At 40.1% G+C, this 17,509-nt stretch overlaps 1 protein-coding gene across 16 annotated transcripts in view; it reads left to right on the top strand.

The window, feature by feature from the left end:
• The window catches only part of ANKRD44 (ankyrin repeat domain 44), a 343,767-nt gene that overhangs the window by 299,034 nt on the left and 27,224 nt on the right, over positions 1-17,509 (top strand). For 15 of the 16 annotated variants that reach the window (NR_160034.1, XM_047446287.1, XM_005246948.3 and 12 more), the window contains 8 exons: positions 2,716-2,803; positions 3,824-3,941; positions 5,837-6,053; positions 9,907-9,994; positions 11,245-11,328; positions 12,695-12,840; positions 13,328-13,410; positions 16,286-16,368. Coding sequence is in view for 15 of the 16 variants with exons in the window: in XM_047446287.1 (XP_047302243.1) it covers positions 2,716-2,803; positions 3,824-3,941; positions 5,837-6,053; positions 9,907-9,994; positions 11,245-11,328; positions 12,695-12,840; positions 13,328-13,410; positions 16,286-16,368 (907 nt within the window). In the remaining variant the exon portion in view is untranslated. Of the gene's footprint in view, positions 1-2,715; positions 2,804-3,823; positions 3,942-5,836; positions 6,054-9,906; positions 9,995-11,244; positions 11,329-12,694; positions 12,841-13,327; positions 13,411-16,285; positions 16,373-17,509 lie in introns of those variants that run through there. The other variant, XM_047446288.1, reaches the window with a different exon arrangement.

Here is a 17,509-nt window from a genome sequence, read left to right as displayed (position 1 = left end):
AATCCCAGCACTTTGGAAGGCCGAGGAGGGCAGATCACCTGAGGTCAGGAGTTCGAGACCAGCCTGGCCAACAAGGTGAAACCCCATCTCTTCTAAAAATACAAAACTTAGCTGGGCATGGTAGTGTGCATCTGTAGTCCCAGCTACTCGGGAGGCTGAAGCAGGAGAATCGCTTGAACCCAGGAGGCAGAGGTTGCAGTGAGCCGAGTTCACGCCACTGCACTCCAGCCTGGGCAACAGAGCTAGACTCTACCTCAAAAAAAAAAAAAAATACCTGAGGGCTATTAGCTAAGTTCAAAAAGCTACTGTACCAAAAAACAAAACAAAACAAAACAAAAGCACAACTGTAGAAACTGTTTTGCTATCTAACACATTGGGTGAGTTATATGAAGTTAGATAATTTTTTTCTTCTTATGTTTAGCCAAATATCAAATGTCACTTGAACTATTATGATTATGACTATTTAGAGTATTAAGTTGCTACAGAAAGAGGAACCAGTCAAAATATGCTGTTTTTCCATGTTCATGAACCTGCCATCTGCAGTATTCAGCTGTCAGTCCTTTGCCAGTCATTTCCTTTTAGCCATACATTAAACTTCTTGCCTACTTCACCAATGGTAGCAGATTTAGTGTAATTGTAAGAACAAAAAACATAACAGCAGCAGCAACGACATATTACCTGTACTCCAATCCACAGAATTTCCTCCCGAGATACATAAATGGAATGTTGCTGAGAATTAGCTGAATGCAATGGTCTACAAAATGTGCACATTATTCCTGTAGTTCATTTGAGTGCTGTTGATGAATGCAAGCTAATTCCAGTATGTATGTATTGTCCCTGAAAAAATGTGTCATTGTTAAATTAGCATTCTCTCGTGGCTGGCAAGCAAATAAAAGGTCTGTAAAATGCAGCTCTTAGGAGAGCCTTTATCAACCTCACATAGCGGCGTCTATTCCCTTCTCTCTCCACATCCATAATGTGGCAAATACAATGTACTTTGTGGCCTTCTCATTGTTAGAGAGGAGAGAAGGTCACATTTGGAATTTTAACCACGGTTGCTCTCATCTTACTCCCTGAGTGGGAAGTCATGCCTATCATAAGGCTTTGGTTTGCGTTCAATAGCCTGGCAGAAAGCAGCTTACCCTGAGGTTATCATCACAGGTTTGCTTCCCAGCCCCTGTGGGACCACTACAGCCTTCTAAAGCTGCCTGGAATTGGTGTGCACAGGAGTGCATCCAGTGCTCCCGCCCCAGCCGGTCCAGGCCTGCCCCGCATGGGGGCCGCATTTCCTGCCCACATTGGCCCCCACTCGGTCCGCTGGGCGAGGAGGGGCAGGGGGAGGCCCAGTCTGGCCTAGGAAAGGGCTCCCAGGGAGCCCAGTCACACCTCGGCCAGGCACGAGGATGCCTGGGAAGTCAGAGAAAGCGCCGCCTGTGGCTCGGTGACCGTGGGGCTGAGGGACCGTCACTCAACAGTGAGCGGATGGAGCGTGCACACCCAGCCGGCGTGAGGTTTTGTTTTCTGCCACCACCCATCAGTCAGAGCTATTGCAGGAATACCTCTTCTGAATATCTACCTCAGAATGTAAAACGACCTGGGAGAAGAGGCGGCCCCAGGTCCCTACTCCCTTCCCTTCTGACCGTCTCCCCTCTCCCCTCCACTTCTCTCCTTCCTTCCTCGCCTTCCTCCTCCTCCTCCATCCTGCTCCTGCTCCCCTCACACTTCCACTCCCTTCTCTCCCTTCTTCCTTCTTTTTAAAGGGGTTGGAGGCAGGGTAGATACAGTATGATTATATGGAATTGGGTGACTCAGAGGAACAAAAAGGGGAGCTGACTAGTGGGGAGAGATTATTAGTCCCATGACAGGAGATAAGAAAGGACCCCAAGTGTAAGAAAAAACCCTCAACACAGGAACTAGAAAAGGAAGGTGGGGATCAATGCACCCTGCTAGGAAGAAGGGGGAAGACAGATTAACACAGAGGCACTCTGCCTGGAAACTACCTTGAGCTGGAAGCCGAGGGGGATCCAGCGGCAACAATGGAAAACCACTGATTTGAAGTCCAAATAAATGTCACTTGGGGCCAGGCACGGTGGCTCATGCCTGTAATCCCAGCACTTTGGGAGGCCAAGGCAGTCAGATTGCTTGAGCCCAGAAGTTCAAGACCAGCCTAGGCAACATGGTGAAACCCCATCTCTACTAAAAATGCAAAAATTAGCGGGTGTGGTGGTGCATGCCTATAATCCCAGCTACTCGGGAGGCAGAATAATCACTTGAACTCGGGAGGCGGAGGTTGCAGTGAGCCAAGATCATATCATTGCACTCCAGCCTGGACGACAGAGTGAGATTCTGTCTCAGAAGGTCACTTGGTGGCTCATGCCTGTAATCCCAGCACTTTGGGAGGCCGAGGCTGGCGGATCACCTGGGGCTAGGAATTCGAGACCAGCCTGGCCAAGATGGTGAGACCCTGTCTCTACTAAAAATGCAAAAATTAGCCAGGCATGGTGGTGCATGCCTGTAATCCCAGCTACTCAGGAGGCTGAGGCAGGAGAATAGCTTGAACCTGGGAGGTGGAGATTGCAATGAGATGACATCGCCCCACTGCACTCCAGCCTGGCGACAGAGCAAGACTCCATCTCAAAAAAAAGAAAAAGTCATTTGGAAGAGATATGTGTAGTGTTGTTCTGTTAAAAGACTGTCCACTGTTTTCTTTTTCAGTAATTAATGGTCACACACTGTGTTTACGGCTGTTGCTAGAAATTGCAGACAACCCGGAGGCGGTCGATGTGAAAGATGCCAAAGGACAGTAAGTGCGCTCACACGTGGCCTTGGGTTGACATTTCAATCACAGCAGCTACCTGGTTGGTTTCTTAAATCATTACAAGGCTGACTGCGGAACCGAGAAATTGGAGGAATATATTTGGACCAGGACCAATACACAATGAGGTGGCTTTAAGTCACAGTGCGTATATCCAAGAAAAGCATGAAGGAGTGGGTGTGCACATGTCTTGATGAAAGGATCACCTTTTTAAGGGCTGTGGCCATGTTTCCCGGCTCTTATTTATATTCTCTCCTTTGTTCCCTCTTTCCGCCCATTTTTACCTTCTTCTGAAGCTGCTACACCATTGCCATTTTCTAATTAATAAATAGGACAGACCTCATGAGGTTATCTCTATTATTAAAATCCTTCAGATGCCTTTTCTTCCTCAACTTTGCTTTTTCAAAGTAATTTCCTTCTGTTGGCATATTCCCCACCTAATCTTCTCTTACAAATAGGAAATGCAGAGCAAAAGTCAGCAGTGACTAGCCCCAGGCATGTGAATCAGTGTGATAGTCAGAATCTCACCTCCCTCTTGCATCACAACACTTCATTCTTTCCCGGAGACTTGACAGACTTTTCTTTAGGGAAAGAAGCTTTGTGTAAATGAAATCTTTAGCAGAAGTCCAACATAGAATACTACAAAGTAGAGCTGCTCTGATGGAAGCAAGAGGGGCTTCTGCATACACATACTCCCCGCCCTTGATATCTAGTAAATGCTACATGGATCTGAAAATGATGGGATTAACATGAATATTTTGAAAAGGAAGCTTCCCCTGCCTCATCCCTAGGGATCATTCCACTAACAACATTCCATGTGGCCATTAGAGCAGAGGCAGATAGCTTGTTCTGCATATTGTATAGCAAACTGGGGACACTTAGAAAATATTAAGAAATTGTCAAAAGGAGAGGGGAAGAGAATGGGAGAAAGAGAATGTCTTCCTACTGGTAGTGATGAATATTTTTTTAAATCTCCTTTTTAAAAGCCTGCTTTATCTCTCTGCCTAGAACACCACTGATGCTTGCAGTAGCATATGGACATATTGACGCTGTTTCATTGTTACTTGAAAAGGAAGCCAACGTAGACACTGTTGACATCCTAGGATGCACAGCTTTACACAGAGGGGTATGTACATCTTTCTCAGCTCTAGTCAAGCAATTTTTTTAATGAGCTTGTTTTCTTTTTTAGCAAACAATTACAAAGGGCCTACTTTGATTGGATTTTTAGCAAAAAATGTTTAGCAAAAATTGTTTCCTAATACAACCAATTAACCTTATTCAGTCCAAAAGAAATTACAAAATCCTTGGCAAAGGCAAAATAATGGAAGGTTTTGCTCTTAAGATTTCATGTTAGATTGTGATAATAGATGCATGAACACCTACTGCTGGTGAAATTGGTTCTGCTTTCTGACTACAAAATACAAGTATATCATAGAAAATTTGCAGAATATTTTTTTTTAAAGCCCAGAGAAGAAAATCACAATCACCAGTAATCATACCTCCTGGAGATAACCACTATTTGATGTATATTATCTCCAATCTTTTTTCTATATATAGATTTGTTTTAGATTTTAAAAAGAGAATACTGAAGATATCATTTGGATTCTGCTTTTTTCTCTTAGTATATCAAGGATCTTTTTTCATTTCATTTTTTTCTGCATCATGATTTTTAATGCCTCATTGTGTTCAAGTGTCATAGTTTATTTCAATGATTACCTGGTTTTCAGTAGTTATGCAATTTCTAATTGTTTGTCCTTACAAATAATGCCAAAATATGTATCCTGTGGGCAATTATTTGCACACATCTGTTGAAGTGTTTGGTTTTTTTTTTTTAATCTCACTCTTATCACCCAGGCTGGAGTGTAGTGGCACAATCTCAGCTCACTGCAACCTCCACCTCCCAGGCTCAATGATCCTCCCACCTCAACTCCCCCCAGTAACTGGGACCACAGGTGCATGCCAGCATGCCCAGCTAATTTTTGTATTTTCTGTTGAGATGGGGTTTTGCCATGTTGCCCAGGCAGGTCTCAAACTGCTGGGCTCAAGTGATCCTCCTGCCTCCACCTCACAAAGTGCTGGGATTACAGGCATTAGCCACTTGCACCCTCTGAACTGTTTTTTAAAGCATGCCAAATAAACTAAGTAAACACAAGCAGAAATCATAAAATTGCTATTTTGGGCTGGTACCAAGTACACTGATAAATGAAGAGAAGAGGAACGCTATGTGATCATTGTCACAGTCATAGTTTTTATTTCTCAGTTGCTTCCTGTGTGCTGTACAACAAGCTGAGAGCCTTTGCATCTGTTATCTCAGTCCTCACAACGTCCTCTGAAGTTGTTATTACTATTCTTATATATAGGTGAATAGAGTGAGGGATGGAGAGGCGAACTGACCTGTCACAGGGGTGCCAAGATTTCACTTAGATCTTCCTGATTCTAAAACTCATGTTTACTGCTGCATCATGATATCTTTCTTTCTTTCTTTTTGAGATGGAGTCTTGCTCTGTCGCCCAGGCCGTAGTGCAGTGGCGCAATGTGGGCTCACTGCAAGCTCTGCCTCCCAGGTTCACGCCATTCTCCTGCCTCAGCCTCCCAAGTAGCTGGGACTACAGGGACCCACGACCATGCCAGGCTAATTTTTCGTATTTTTTTTAGTAGAGATGGGGTTTCACCATGTTAGCCAGGATGGTCTCGATCTCCTGACCTAGTGATCCTCCTGCCTCGGCCTCCCAAAGTGCTGGGATTACAGGCGTGAGCCACCACGCCCGGCCGCATCATGATATCTTTCACAGTTGTCAGGAGAGGCAAGAGATATTTCGAAAATGCTGATGTTCACAGATTTTTCTGTTATGAATTTTGCTGAGGTTGTCCTGCCTTCTGCCCTTGAAATAGGACAGAGTCTGCCTTCCTTAAAGACCCAGGCATATGTCCACTTGCTCTAAGCCCAGCCTCACTTAGCCAACTGCTTTGCTTCCTTAGTCTTCTGAGGTTTGTTTTGTGTTTTTAATTACAATGCATCAGATTATGACAGGACACGAGGAATGTGTGCAAATGCTGCTGGAACAAGAAGTGTCAATTCTCTGTAAAGATTCCAGAGGGAGGACGCCCTTGCACTATGCAGCTGCTCGTGGCCACGCCACGTGGCTGAGCGAGCTGCTCCAAATGGCTCTTTCTGAGGAGGACTGTTGTTTCAAAGATAACCAAGGCTACACGCCGCTGCACTGGGCTTGTTACAATGGTGAGTTGCTTATCATTTGACTGATTCCACTAGACTTCCTACCCCAGGACCACTGTGAGCTCAGTGGAGGTGAGAGCCTTATGTAATTCTGCAAACCATGGTTTCTAATCTTTCTGCATCCAAGATATCTTTTTTGTGTATTTTGTTTGTTTTTTTAATAGTTCTCACCCCTCCACAGCTGCTGTGATGCCTTAACTGAGTAAAAGTTCACTTTCCCCTTTTAGTTAATCATTAACACTTAACCGTAATCAGAACCGATAAGCTTAAATGACCAATTTTATTCAGGGTTTCTGATCTATATAATATAACCAGGATCCCACAAGGGATTAAAATAATAAAACTAATACCAAATATATGTATATAATTTAATAACCTGTCACAATTGATTACTAGTAGATGCATGGTTCATCTTTTGGTGTTTGTTGTGTTTCATATTCCTTATTTATTTTGTTGTACTTATTATTTGGGAGATTTTTAAATTTGTATTTCACTTAATTTAAAAATGCATCCTAATTATACCAATTCCAAAGTACAGAAATATCTGAAGTAAAATTGTTTCCATTTCTAAACCTACTTTCTAATGTAATTTTGTGTGCATCTTTCATAATTTTTCCTTTGAAAATATAAATAATTATAAATTAATGTGTATATTTTTTGAAACTGGAATTATAGAACAAATAGCAGCCATTCTATAATTTTTTGTTGGTGTTTAAATTGTATTGCAGATATTCTTACAAGTCAATATGTATCAATATGGATTGATCTTATAATGGTTGTATATTATTTCATAGCAATATGTATACCAGAACTTATTATTTATTCAACCAGGTTTCTGTGGATTGACATTCAGATTTCTTTTTTCCTATTACAAGCAATGCAGCAATGTGCATGTCCATATTATGGTACCATAAATTCTCTCAGATAAGTTTCCAGAAATAAAATTATTGAGTAAGGGGGTTTGTGTATTTTTTAATTTTAATAAATTATACCATATTATTTTGCAAAAAGGATATCAAAATTTATTATTTCACCAAACATTTGTATAAAAGTTAGTGTTTTTCCTCATGCTTGCCAACCCAGAATAACACCTTTTTAAATTTTTGTCGATTTGAGAGGCAAAAGGTATCTTCTTGTTTCAATTTGCATTTCCCTATCTAATAGTACCCTGGCTATTTGTATTTCTTCTTCTAGAAATTACTTTTTCCATCCACTGTTCACTTTTTTCCTATTGAGCTATTTATCTTTTCTCGTATGCTTGTGGGAGCACCTTGTCTTGGTGATAAGAATGTGATATGAATGAATGTTTAATGATATGAATGTCTTAGAAATATGAATATTTTTGTTCCTTGTTTAGGATGTTTTTTTCCACTTAGAGATTTTGAGCTTTTATGTACTTGAATCAGTTACAGAGATACATTTCTATTATATTTTCAACAAATATGTATTGAATAACTACAATGGCAGCTACTGTTTAGATACTTGAAATATGTCAATGAACAAAACCAAGATCCTATCAGATTTTGTATGGTTTCCAGGTTTCCAGTCTCTCTTCAAAAGGTCTCCTACCCCTAAGATTATATGGATATTTTCCCATGTATTTTTTACTTTGCTTCTATAATTTTCTTTTTACATTTTCAATTAGTCAATTAAAATTTTAATTTAGAAACCATTAATAGTTCCACAAAAGGCGTTTGTGTGTGTGTGTGTGTGTTCTAATTATATCAATTTAAGACCTCTTACTGTGTTTTCACTACGGTCCTCTTTTTTCATTCATTCTGCTCAGTAAGAGCCAAATTTTCTATTTCCTCAACTTGGTTTTGTTCCCTTCCTGCCATTGGAGGATTGTGATTTTTTTTTTTAACCTACTAATGGGTGACCCCCATCTGGGTCAAGCTGTGGGAGCTCTCTGGCACTGGAGAACCTACAAGAGGAGAAGGATGCAGTGAGAGTGCTGATTATAATGGCGGGCCGCAAACCTGACACAGACCAGATCCTCTCTTCAGGGCTCAGGGTGAGAGGTGTCTGTGTTCCTAGCCTCTCCAGGTACAGGCAGGGGAGGAGGAGCAGTCTCCTCCTAAGCCGTTCACCCTTTCAGTGCAGCCTTTGTCCAGGACTGAGTTTCAAGCTCCCATCTTCCCAGACTCCTTTTTACTAGGCACTTTGAAATATTGAAAGGAGCTCAGTCATCTCCAGTCCTACCTGTACAGACTCTTAAATTGGGATTCATATAGTCCCCACTTAAGGAATGCTATGTGTGGATGCTACCCTAAGCTAGATCCTTTGGAAGACTTGAGGTGTCTGGGACTATTTCAATGACGGTTCCATGTAGTTAGTTGGAAGGCTAAATCATACAACTTTCCTAGAGCTGCTGGCTTTTTTTTTTCTAGGGGTGTATGGAGTCTTACTCTGTCACCCAGGCTTGTGGCGTGATTTCGGCTCACCACAACCTTTGCCTCCTGGGTTCAAGCGATTCTCCTGCCTCAGCCTCCCGAGTAGCTGGAACTACAGACAGGCACCACCACACATCTTTTTTTTTTTTTGGTATTTTTAGGAGAGATGGGGTTTCGCCATGTTGGCCAGGCTGGTCTTGAACTCCTGACCTCAAGTAATTCGCCCGCCTCGACCTCCCAAAATGCTGGGATTACAGGCATGAGCCACCATGCCCAGCCACTGCCAGTTTTTTATATTTATTACTTCATAAGCTTTTTAATCTGTCTAAAAGCAATATTGCCTATTCTCTTTTTAGATATAAGAAAAGTTTGATTTGTATTTTAATATTTCAAATTGTCCCATCTACATCATTCTGAGGTAGATCATAAGGGAACTTTCACTAACTTAGCACTGAGTTCAACCAAGAAGAGGTTTCAGGACAATCTGTGTTGCAAAGCAAAATGGCAATGCCTTCCCACATTAGAATTGAGAACCACAGAGACTTTGTCGTTGTTTTTTGTTTTTTGTTTTAACCAGGTCTGTAATGAGGGAATGCTTAGTCAGGCTGGGGAACCATCACCCTTCTTCCTGGGAGACAATACCAGGCAGCAAGATCTGTCTTACAATTGTATAGAACGTCACAAACCACACTGAGGCCCTTTATTGAGTAAAGTTCTCACCATCCTGTGACATAGGTAGGGCAGGTATTCCTAGTCCAGTTTTGAATATGTGAGAAACTGAGGCTCAGAGATCCCAAGTAAATTGCCTCAGATCACATAACAAGTAAGCTGACAGCTAGGACCTTACTTAACTTGAATTCAGTTGATTTGGAAACTACCTACCATTTTGTTGAAAATAATTTCACATATTCATTCATCTACTTATTTGAATAGTGCTTACTGAATGCCCATGATGTGCCAAGAACTGTTCTTGGGGGCAGTTAAAACACATATAGTATTTTATAGTCAATTTTCACATGCATTATCTCAAATACTGTTTTCTCCTAATCACAGTTTCGCCTCTCCACTAGAATGCATAATGTAAGTGGAAGTATTTGTATGGGTGAAAGGTACATTTCCTCTTATAAATGTGGACAAATTGAAGCATGCCTGTGTGAGGCATCTATCTTTCAAGAGCTGAGAATAAAACAGAATATATTCTGCTTGCAAATGAGTCATCTTCTCTGTCTCTCTTCACCAGACCATATGACCTTCATTGTTTTATTTGTTCATTAAGTCTCAGAACACCTGTGAACATGTTAATAACATTTTGGCATTTTGTTAATATTATTTCATGGAGAATGAATGTTCAGCCAATTCAGGAAAATTCATAAACCAAAAACTCAATACTTAATGAAAAAGCAGATTGGGTTGAACAAAATTTCTTTCTTGGAAACTCCCTAAATTATTTTTATTTCTTGCAGGTAATGAAAACTGTATAGAGGTACTTTTGGAGCAAAAATGTTTTCGCAAATTTATCGGTAATCCCTTTACTCCACTGCACTGTGCAATGTAAGTAGAAACGCTGAGAGTTAATGATGTTGCTTTAATGATTTTAACTACACATAGAAAAGTTGCTTTGTAGGGAAAAAAGTCTTTTAGATTACAGATAAGACTGAAATATTCCATTTTTGCTGCTAAAGACAAGTAGATCTGATAGCAAAATATTAATGATTTTCCCGGAGATTTTTGTGGAGTGCCACAGTTCCAAAGTGGCAAAGATGCCACCCTCGGGAAATCTCGTGAAGGGGTAGAGTGAGAGGTGCATTACCCATGTGAAGAACTCTTCAGGTATAACTCACATTTGTCTGCCAAATTCTAAAAATAAGTCAGCGTTGACAACAGTATGCCTACAGATGGTTAGAAAGGCATTTCACACTGGGACAACTTTTCATATATTGAAATTCTTCATCTTTCATATGTTGTAAGCTCTTGTCTGATAAATTTAATTTTTGCTCCAGTCTCAATAGTGAATCATAGTTCAGAGGATACAGTGACTTTAAGTCAGACTTCCATAGTCAGCCTGGGAGTCTGTTTTCAACTGGGCTTCCATAGTTAGCCTGGGGGCCCAAGACCTGAGGATTCTTTGTCTTTACATTGTCTCTGGCCTTTATATGAAACTGAGTCATTTGATTGGAAAGATATTGGAGGCATAAAGTAGATCAATAAAGAAAGTATAAGTAAAAAAGAGTCAGAAAGATTTTATTTTGTTTATATTTTGTTTTTTGAGACGGAGTCTCGCTCTGTCGCCTAGGCTGGAGAGCAGTGGCACAATCTCGGCTCACTGCAACCTCTGGCTCCCGGGTTCAAGCAATTCTCCTGCCTCAGCTTCCCAAGCAGCTGGGACTACAGGTGCGCGCCACCACGCCTGGCTAATTTTTGTAGTTTTAGTAGGGACTGGGTTTCACCATATTGGCCAGGCTGGTCTTGAACTCCTGACCTCATGATCCACCTGCCTCAGCCTCCCAAAGGTCAGAAAGATTTTAAATCTGAAGGAAGCATGTCTATTCCACTTTGATGTCTCCAAAACGCCTAACATGGTGCCTTGCATAAGTGCAATAAACTTCTACCTGGATATAGAGGTTCTGAAGTAATGCTAGGGGTTACAAAATGTATGCCATTGAAACATATACCACAAATATTTACGTTCGATTTTTTAAATGCTTCAGATTGTCAAATATACAGTACATAGGAAGATGGGTTAGGAGGTGATATAATTTAAAAGAGTGAGATTGTTACATTAAAACCCATTTTCATTTTAGAATCAATGATCATGGGAATTGTGCATCATTGCTGCTTGGGGCCATAGATTCCAGTATCGTCAGTTGTAGAGATGACAAAGGCAGGTAAGTAATCTAAAACAGCATGCTTTTTTCTTGATGAATCTTACCCTCTGCTTTGCAGTTGCAGAGTAGCCAAACATCTATGTTTTTAATTGAAAGAATAATGGATAAGCATGGTTTTTAATATTACAGAGGGTGTATAATTAAAATAAATTTCCCTCTAAGCCTAGAATCCCTAGCCTCTTCCACAGAGAAAGCTACTATACACTGTTATTTACAAATTTTATTTTCTCCTAAATATTTTTATGCATATCTACAAACATATATACACATATATGTATATATCCATATATTCTTTTTTGCACATGGTAGCATTCTGTAACAATGCTCTGCTTTTAGTATATCTTGGAGATCCTTCCATACCAAAACATACAGATTTACCATATTCTTTTTGAAGCTACATATTATTTCATTGAATGGATATGCTATAATTTGCTCATCCTGCCCTCTATTGAAGAACATTTAGATTGTTTCCAATATTTTGCTGTTTCAAAGTGTGGTGTGGTGAACATTCTCATATGTGTGTCTGGGCAGGGTACAGTGGCTCACGCCTGTAATCCCAGCACTTTGGGAGGCCGAGGCGGGTGGATCATGAGGCCAGGAGATAGAGACCGTCCTAGCTAACATGGTGAAACCCCATCTCTACTAAAAATATAAAAAATTAGCCGGGTGTGGTGGCAGGCGCCTGTAGTCCCAGCTACTCAGGAGGCTGAGGCAGGAGAATGGCGTGAACCCATGAGGCAGAGGTTGCAGTGAGCCGAGATTGTGCCACTGCACTCCAGCCTGGGCAACAGAGTGAGACTCTATCTCAAAAATAAATAAATAAATAAATAAATAAATAAATAAATAAATAAATAAGTGTCTGTACACATGACCAAGTGTATCTGAGAGATAAATACCTAGAAGTGGATTTCTTGGTTAAAGGGTTGATATTTTTAAATTTTGATAAATAATGCCAAATTATCCTCTAAAAGAAATTAAGCAACCAAAATAGATGATGTGACGGGTTTTTAAAATTTTTATTTAATCTGCCAATTATCTACAGACTTAAGCATTAATTTTTAAAGTATCTATCTCAAAGATAAAAGTAGACTCACTGGAACTTAAGATTAAAGAGTCAGTAAAGACACTAATTTCATTATCAGGGCCAACACACACCCCCCTCCCAAATCTAGGGGGTTCCAGTCCCATAGGTGATATTTCAGTGTCTATCCTGGATGACCTTTAGAGGGAGGGGACCTGATCACTATGTCTATAAACTGAGAAGTTTTAAATCCTTAAGACAACACCTTGTGCATGTTTCTTGGGCAGTAACTAGCGAGAATAAAGTTTAAAGGAAACTAAAGTGATACTTGTTTTAAATCTTTAGGACACCCCTTCATGCGGCAGCATTTGCTGATCATGTGGAGTGCTTGCAGCTTCTTCTGAGACACAGTGCTCCAGTGAACGCAGTAGATAATTCAGGGAAAACAGCACTGATGATGGCTGCTGAGAATGGGCAGGCAGGCGCTGTGGGTATGTGCTTGTTGTATGGACTTTGCCCTTATGCCCATGCAAAAACCAAAATAATGTCAAATCAAGAAATCAGTTGTTCTCATAGTATATACACGTGGAAAAGGGCCATTAGCAGTTTTACTTAAGTCACCTGATTCTACCTGCTCAAGCGTCTTTCAGTTCCCTGTTTTTTGATTCTTGGTGGACCTTGTCAAAGAGCTAACCCTTCTGCAATGAAATTATCAACATTTAGAAACCAAGTGTAACAACAGAATCATTTTAACTGGGAATAATGAACTGTAAAAGCAGTTAAAATTAGTGCCTATTAACCTTGGATTTGGATAGCACAGATATGAGAATAAATTACTCCCTTTTTTCTTTAAATACATTAAATATGATTATGTGAACTGTACTAATTTAAATATGTTATTGTGTTTGTAGTAACTTCTTCAAAATGCATGTAATTAGCATCTCATCTAAGTAACCCTCTTTTGGGCTTTTTCTACAGATATTTTGGTGAACAGTGCCCAGGCTGATCTGACTGTAAAGGATAAGGACTTGAATACACCCTTACATTTGGCTTGTAGTAAAGTATGTAAATGAATTTAAAATATTATTACTTCACGTTATAATAATAACAGTAATAATAACACTGAAATTCTACCTCGGAACTGTGTAGCATGGCTCTTAATTAAGATGTACATTTTCCCAGGGTCTTGTCAACTGAAAGTGGAAGGATGAGAAGGAAAGGACAGACCCAACAATGCATTCGTGTTGAAGAAGCATATCTTCATCAACACAAATACTGAGGACATGCTTTTCATGGCATTTGCCACTTGCATTCTTGCTGTAGTCTGTCTGTCTTGATGCTGCCATCGTATCTGTCTCTCTGGTTGTTGTACCACATTTTGGTACCACATAAAAGTGAGGACCTTAGTTATGTGGCTTGTAAAGTATAAGCAGTTTTACTTGTTTTCATTTTGTTCCATTTGAAGACATTGTAGTAACACAGCCAAAAAATACTCTACTGTGAAGCAAATAAATAGATATATGTGTATTTCTACCCTTCCCCCTTTTTTCTGGTGTACAGTTCAATGCAAAAAATGTGATTTTTTTTTTCAAATAGTGGTGTGTTCACATGTTGCTCAAGATTCCTTCTTCCATAAAAGATAAATTTTAGGCCGGGAGCAGTGGCTCATACCTATAATCCCAACACTTTGGGAGGCCGAGGCAGGTGGATTACCTGAGGTCGGGAGTTCGAGACCAGCCTGACCATAATGGAGAAACCCTGTCTCTACTAAAAATACAAAATTACCCGGGCATGGTGGCGCATGCCTGTAATCCCAGCTATTCAGGAGGCTGAGCCAGGAGAATCGTTTGAACCCGGGAGGCAGAGGTTGCAGTGAGCTGAGATCACTCCATTGCACTCCAGCCTGGACAACAAGAGTGAAACTCCATCTCAAAAAAAAAAAAAAGATAAATTATATAAAATTATATATATATATAATTTATCTTTTATATCATATATATGATTTTACAAAACTTCGTTATGTTGCTGAATCGTATAATATTAATATCTTTTAAACATCATGTTTTATGGTATTTTAGAAGATATGTAGTATTTCAGCTTAGGAATGGGCCATCTTTTATTCAACCCATCTCCTATTATTAGACAAATAACTTGTTTTCAGTTATATGTTAGTACAAGTTCAGTATCTCTTACCTGAAATTCCTGGAACTAGAAGTGTTTCAGATTTAGGATTTTTTGGATTTTGGAATATTTGTATTATACATGTTGATTATCCCAAATCCAAAAATCTGAGTGTTATGTCAATATTCAAAAAGTTTTGGATTTTGTAGCATTTTTTATTTCAGATTTTCGAATTTGGGATGCTCAACCTGTATAAATAATGCTTATTGCAGAGGAATCTTTTATAAACATCCTTACTCATTACTTTAAGATAAATTCCTAAGTGTGGAATTATTGAGTCTAAGGATATAATTTTTTTTTTTTTTTTTTTTTTTGAGGCAGAGTCTTACTTGTTGCCCAGGCTGGAGTGCAGTGGCGCAATCTTGGCCCACTGCAACCTCCGCCTCCCAAGTTCAAGTGATTCTCCTGCCTCAGCCACCCGAGTAGCTGGGACTACAGGCATGCGCCACCATGCCCGGCTAATTTTTGTATTTTTTAGGAGAGATGGAGTTTCACCATGCTGGCTAGGCTGGTCTCGAACTCCTGACCTCGTGATCCGCCCGCCTTGGCATCCCAAAGTGCTAGGATTACAGGCATGAGCCACTGCACCCAGCCAGATATAAATATTTTTAGACCAACTTGCCCTCTTACGAGGTCACAACAGTTTACCTTCCAACAGCAGTGCCTCAGAATGAAACCTCCATGGACATTTCTAAAATTATATTTAAGGGTCTCCCATACAAGGCATTATAGTATGAAGCCAGTTGGCACCCATGGCGGTGATTTATTTCAATGTAGTTAAAATATTATCAGTGTTACCTATATGGTACCAGTAGTCTCAGCCATTCCTTTCATTGCTTACATTTTCTCACTTCATGCTCTGGGAAGCCCATGGGAACCACAAAAAGTGCTCAGCCTTATGAAGTTTATTTCAAGGTATAGTATTTTGGTGAATATAAGTGCAATGCTTTTCAAACTTTATCATGCAAACGAATCACCTGGGAGTTCTGTGAAAAAAACAGATTCTGATATATTAGGTCTGGGGCAGAGCTTGAGATTCAGCAGTTCTAACTCCCAGTAATACTAATGTGACTGGTCTGCACGCCACATGTTGATTAGCAAGGGCTTAGGAAGCCATAACCCCTTAAAAGGGTACCAGGCCTGAAATTGTAAGAGTCTCTGACTCATCAGTTGATTTTCAAAAATTATTAACCATCTATCTTCATAAGGTACAGAGATATCTTCCACTGATTGAAGAAGAAAACAATGAGTTTTCCTGAAATAGGGTTTCTTCACAATATAAGGCAATTAATGATGATGAATGATATAGATAATAGATGTAATGGGAATTCCAAGGATAAATGGATAATTGAAGTAGTAACTGACGTCTTGAAATAGGAGGTGGGACTTTTGATGTATGCTAAATGTTATAGGATTCAGACAGTATTCCTATTTCTATTCCCTAGTTACCAGCTGACCTAGCTGAACTAGCATCTGCTTTACCTCTCTGGGGATTAATTTTAAAATTTATCTTAGCAGTATTAATATTTTAGATCAGACTTATGTTAACCAAGTTCTAATAGACCTTATTAGGACTCTTAGAGTGTCTGGAGCCCATTTGTTGTTGAGAAGAAAAAAAATTACTCAGAAAATAGCCCTATAGAATGTTCTTAGGCAGACGACATTCATTTTCAATTTAAATCATAATGAAGAAATTTCTCAGTAACTTTTCTGTGTCTCTATCTTGCATTTCTTATCATTCTTTTTCTTTATTAGGGTCATGAAAAATGTGCCTTGTTAATACTTGACAAGATACAAGACGAGAGCCTTATTAATGAAAAAAATAATGCACTGCAGACGTAAGTGTAACTACTAAAGTTGGACTTGAACCCAGGGTCATAGTCATTTATTCAATAAGTATTAAGAGCCTGCTGTGTGCCAGACTAGCTCTGGGGAGCACAGTGGTGAAAGATGCAGTCCTGGCTTCCCCTGCATGAAGGTGACAGTCACATACCTACAAGTGCTGACCAAGCTGGGCAGTTTTAGTTAGAATCCTTCTTTTGATATGTCTTCATTTAATTTTGTGAAGTCTCTCTTTTTCTTTGCTGATATTTCTGGGGTAATATTATAAATTTAGTGGGCTGTTAGAAAAATTTTATGGACTGACATATTTGGGGAAACTATTTGTATTATGTATTAGCATTATGTATTCTGACTGGAAAATGACAGTTTTGCAAATCAGTTTCCCAGAATACATTTGAAGAGTTTCTAAGCTATTTGTCTTGATTATATTTTAATATAATTCAGTGTAACCCTTGGTGTGAAAGATCTAAAAGCTGTTTCATTTTCCGCTTTAGGAAATTATTTATGCATTTGTTTTAAAGGCAAAGGAATTTTTTTCATTTAAGATTCTTAAGCCGGGCGTGGTGGCTCATGCCTTTAATCCCAGCACTTTGGGAGGCCGAGGCAGTTGGATTACTTGAGGCCAGGAGTTCATGACCCGCCTGGCCAACATGGTGAAACCCCGTCTCTACTAAAAATACAACAACAACAAAATTAGCTGGGCATGATGGTGGGTGCCTGTAACCTCAGCTACTTGGGAGGCTGAGGCAGGAGAATCACTTGAACCTGGGAGGTGGAGGTTGCTGTGAGCTGAGATCGTGCCACTGCACCACTCCAGCCTGGGCAACAAGAGCGAGACTGTCCCCCCACAAAAAAAAAAGAAAAGAAGAAGAAGAAGAAGAAGACTGTTGGCTGGGTGTCGTGGCTCATGCCTATAATCCCGGCACTTTGGGAGGCTGAGGCAAGTAGATCACTTGAGCCCGGGAGTTTGAGACCAGCCTGGCCAACATGATGAAACCCCTTCTCTACAAAAAATAAAAAAATTAGCCAGCCACAGTGGTTTGCACCTGTAGTCCCAGCTACACAGGAGACTGAGGCAGGAGAATCACTTGAGCCCAGCAGAAGGTCAAGGCTGCAGTGAGCTGTGATCGTGCCACT

This window comes from Homo sapiens, chromosome 2 (genome assembly GCF_000001405.40).
Source record: "Homo sapiens chromosome 2, GRCh38.p14 Primary Assembly".
NCBI lineage: Eukaryota > Metazoa > Chordata > Mammalia > Primates > Hominidae > Homo > Homo sapiens.
Note: the sequence above shows the minus strand (reverse complement) of the source record. Positions and strands in the feature narration are given on the sequence as shown.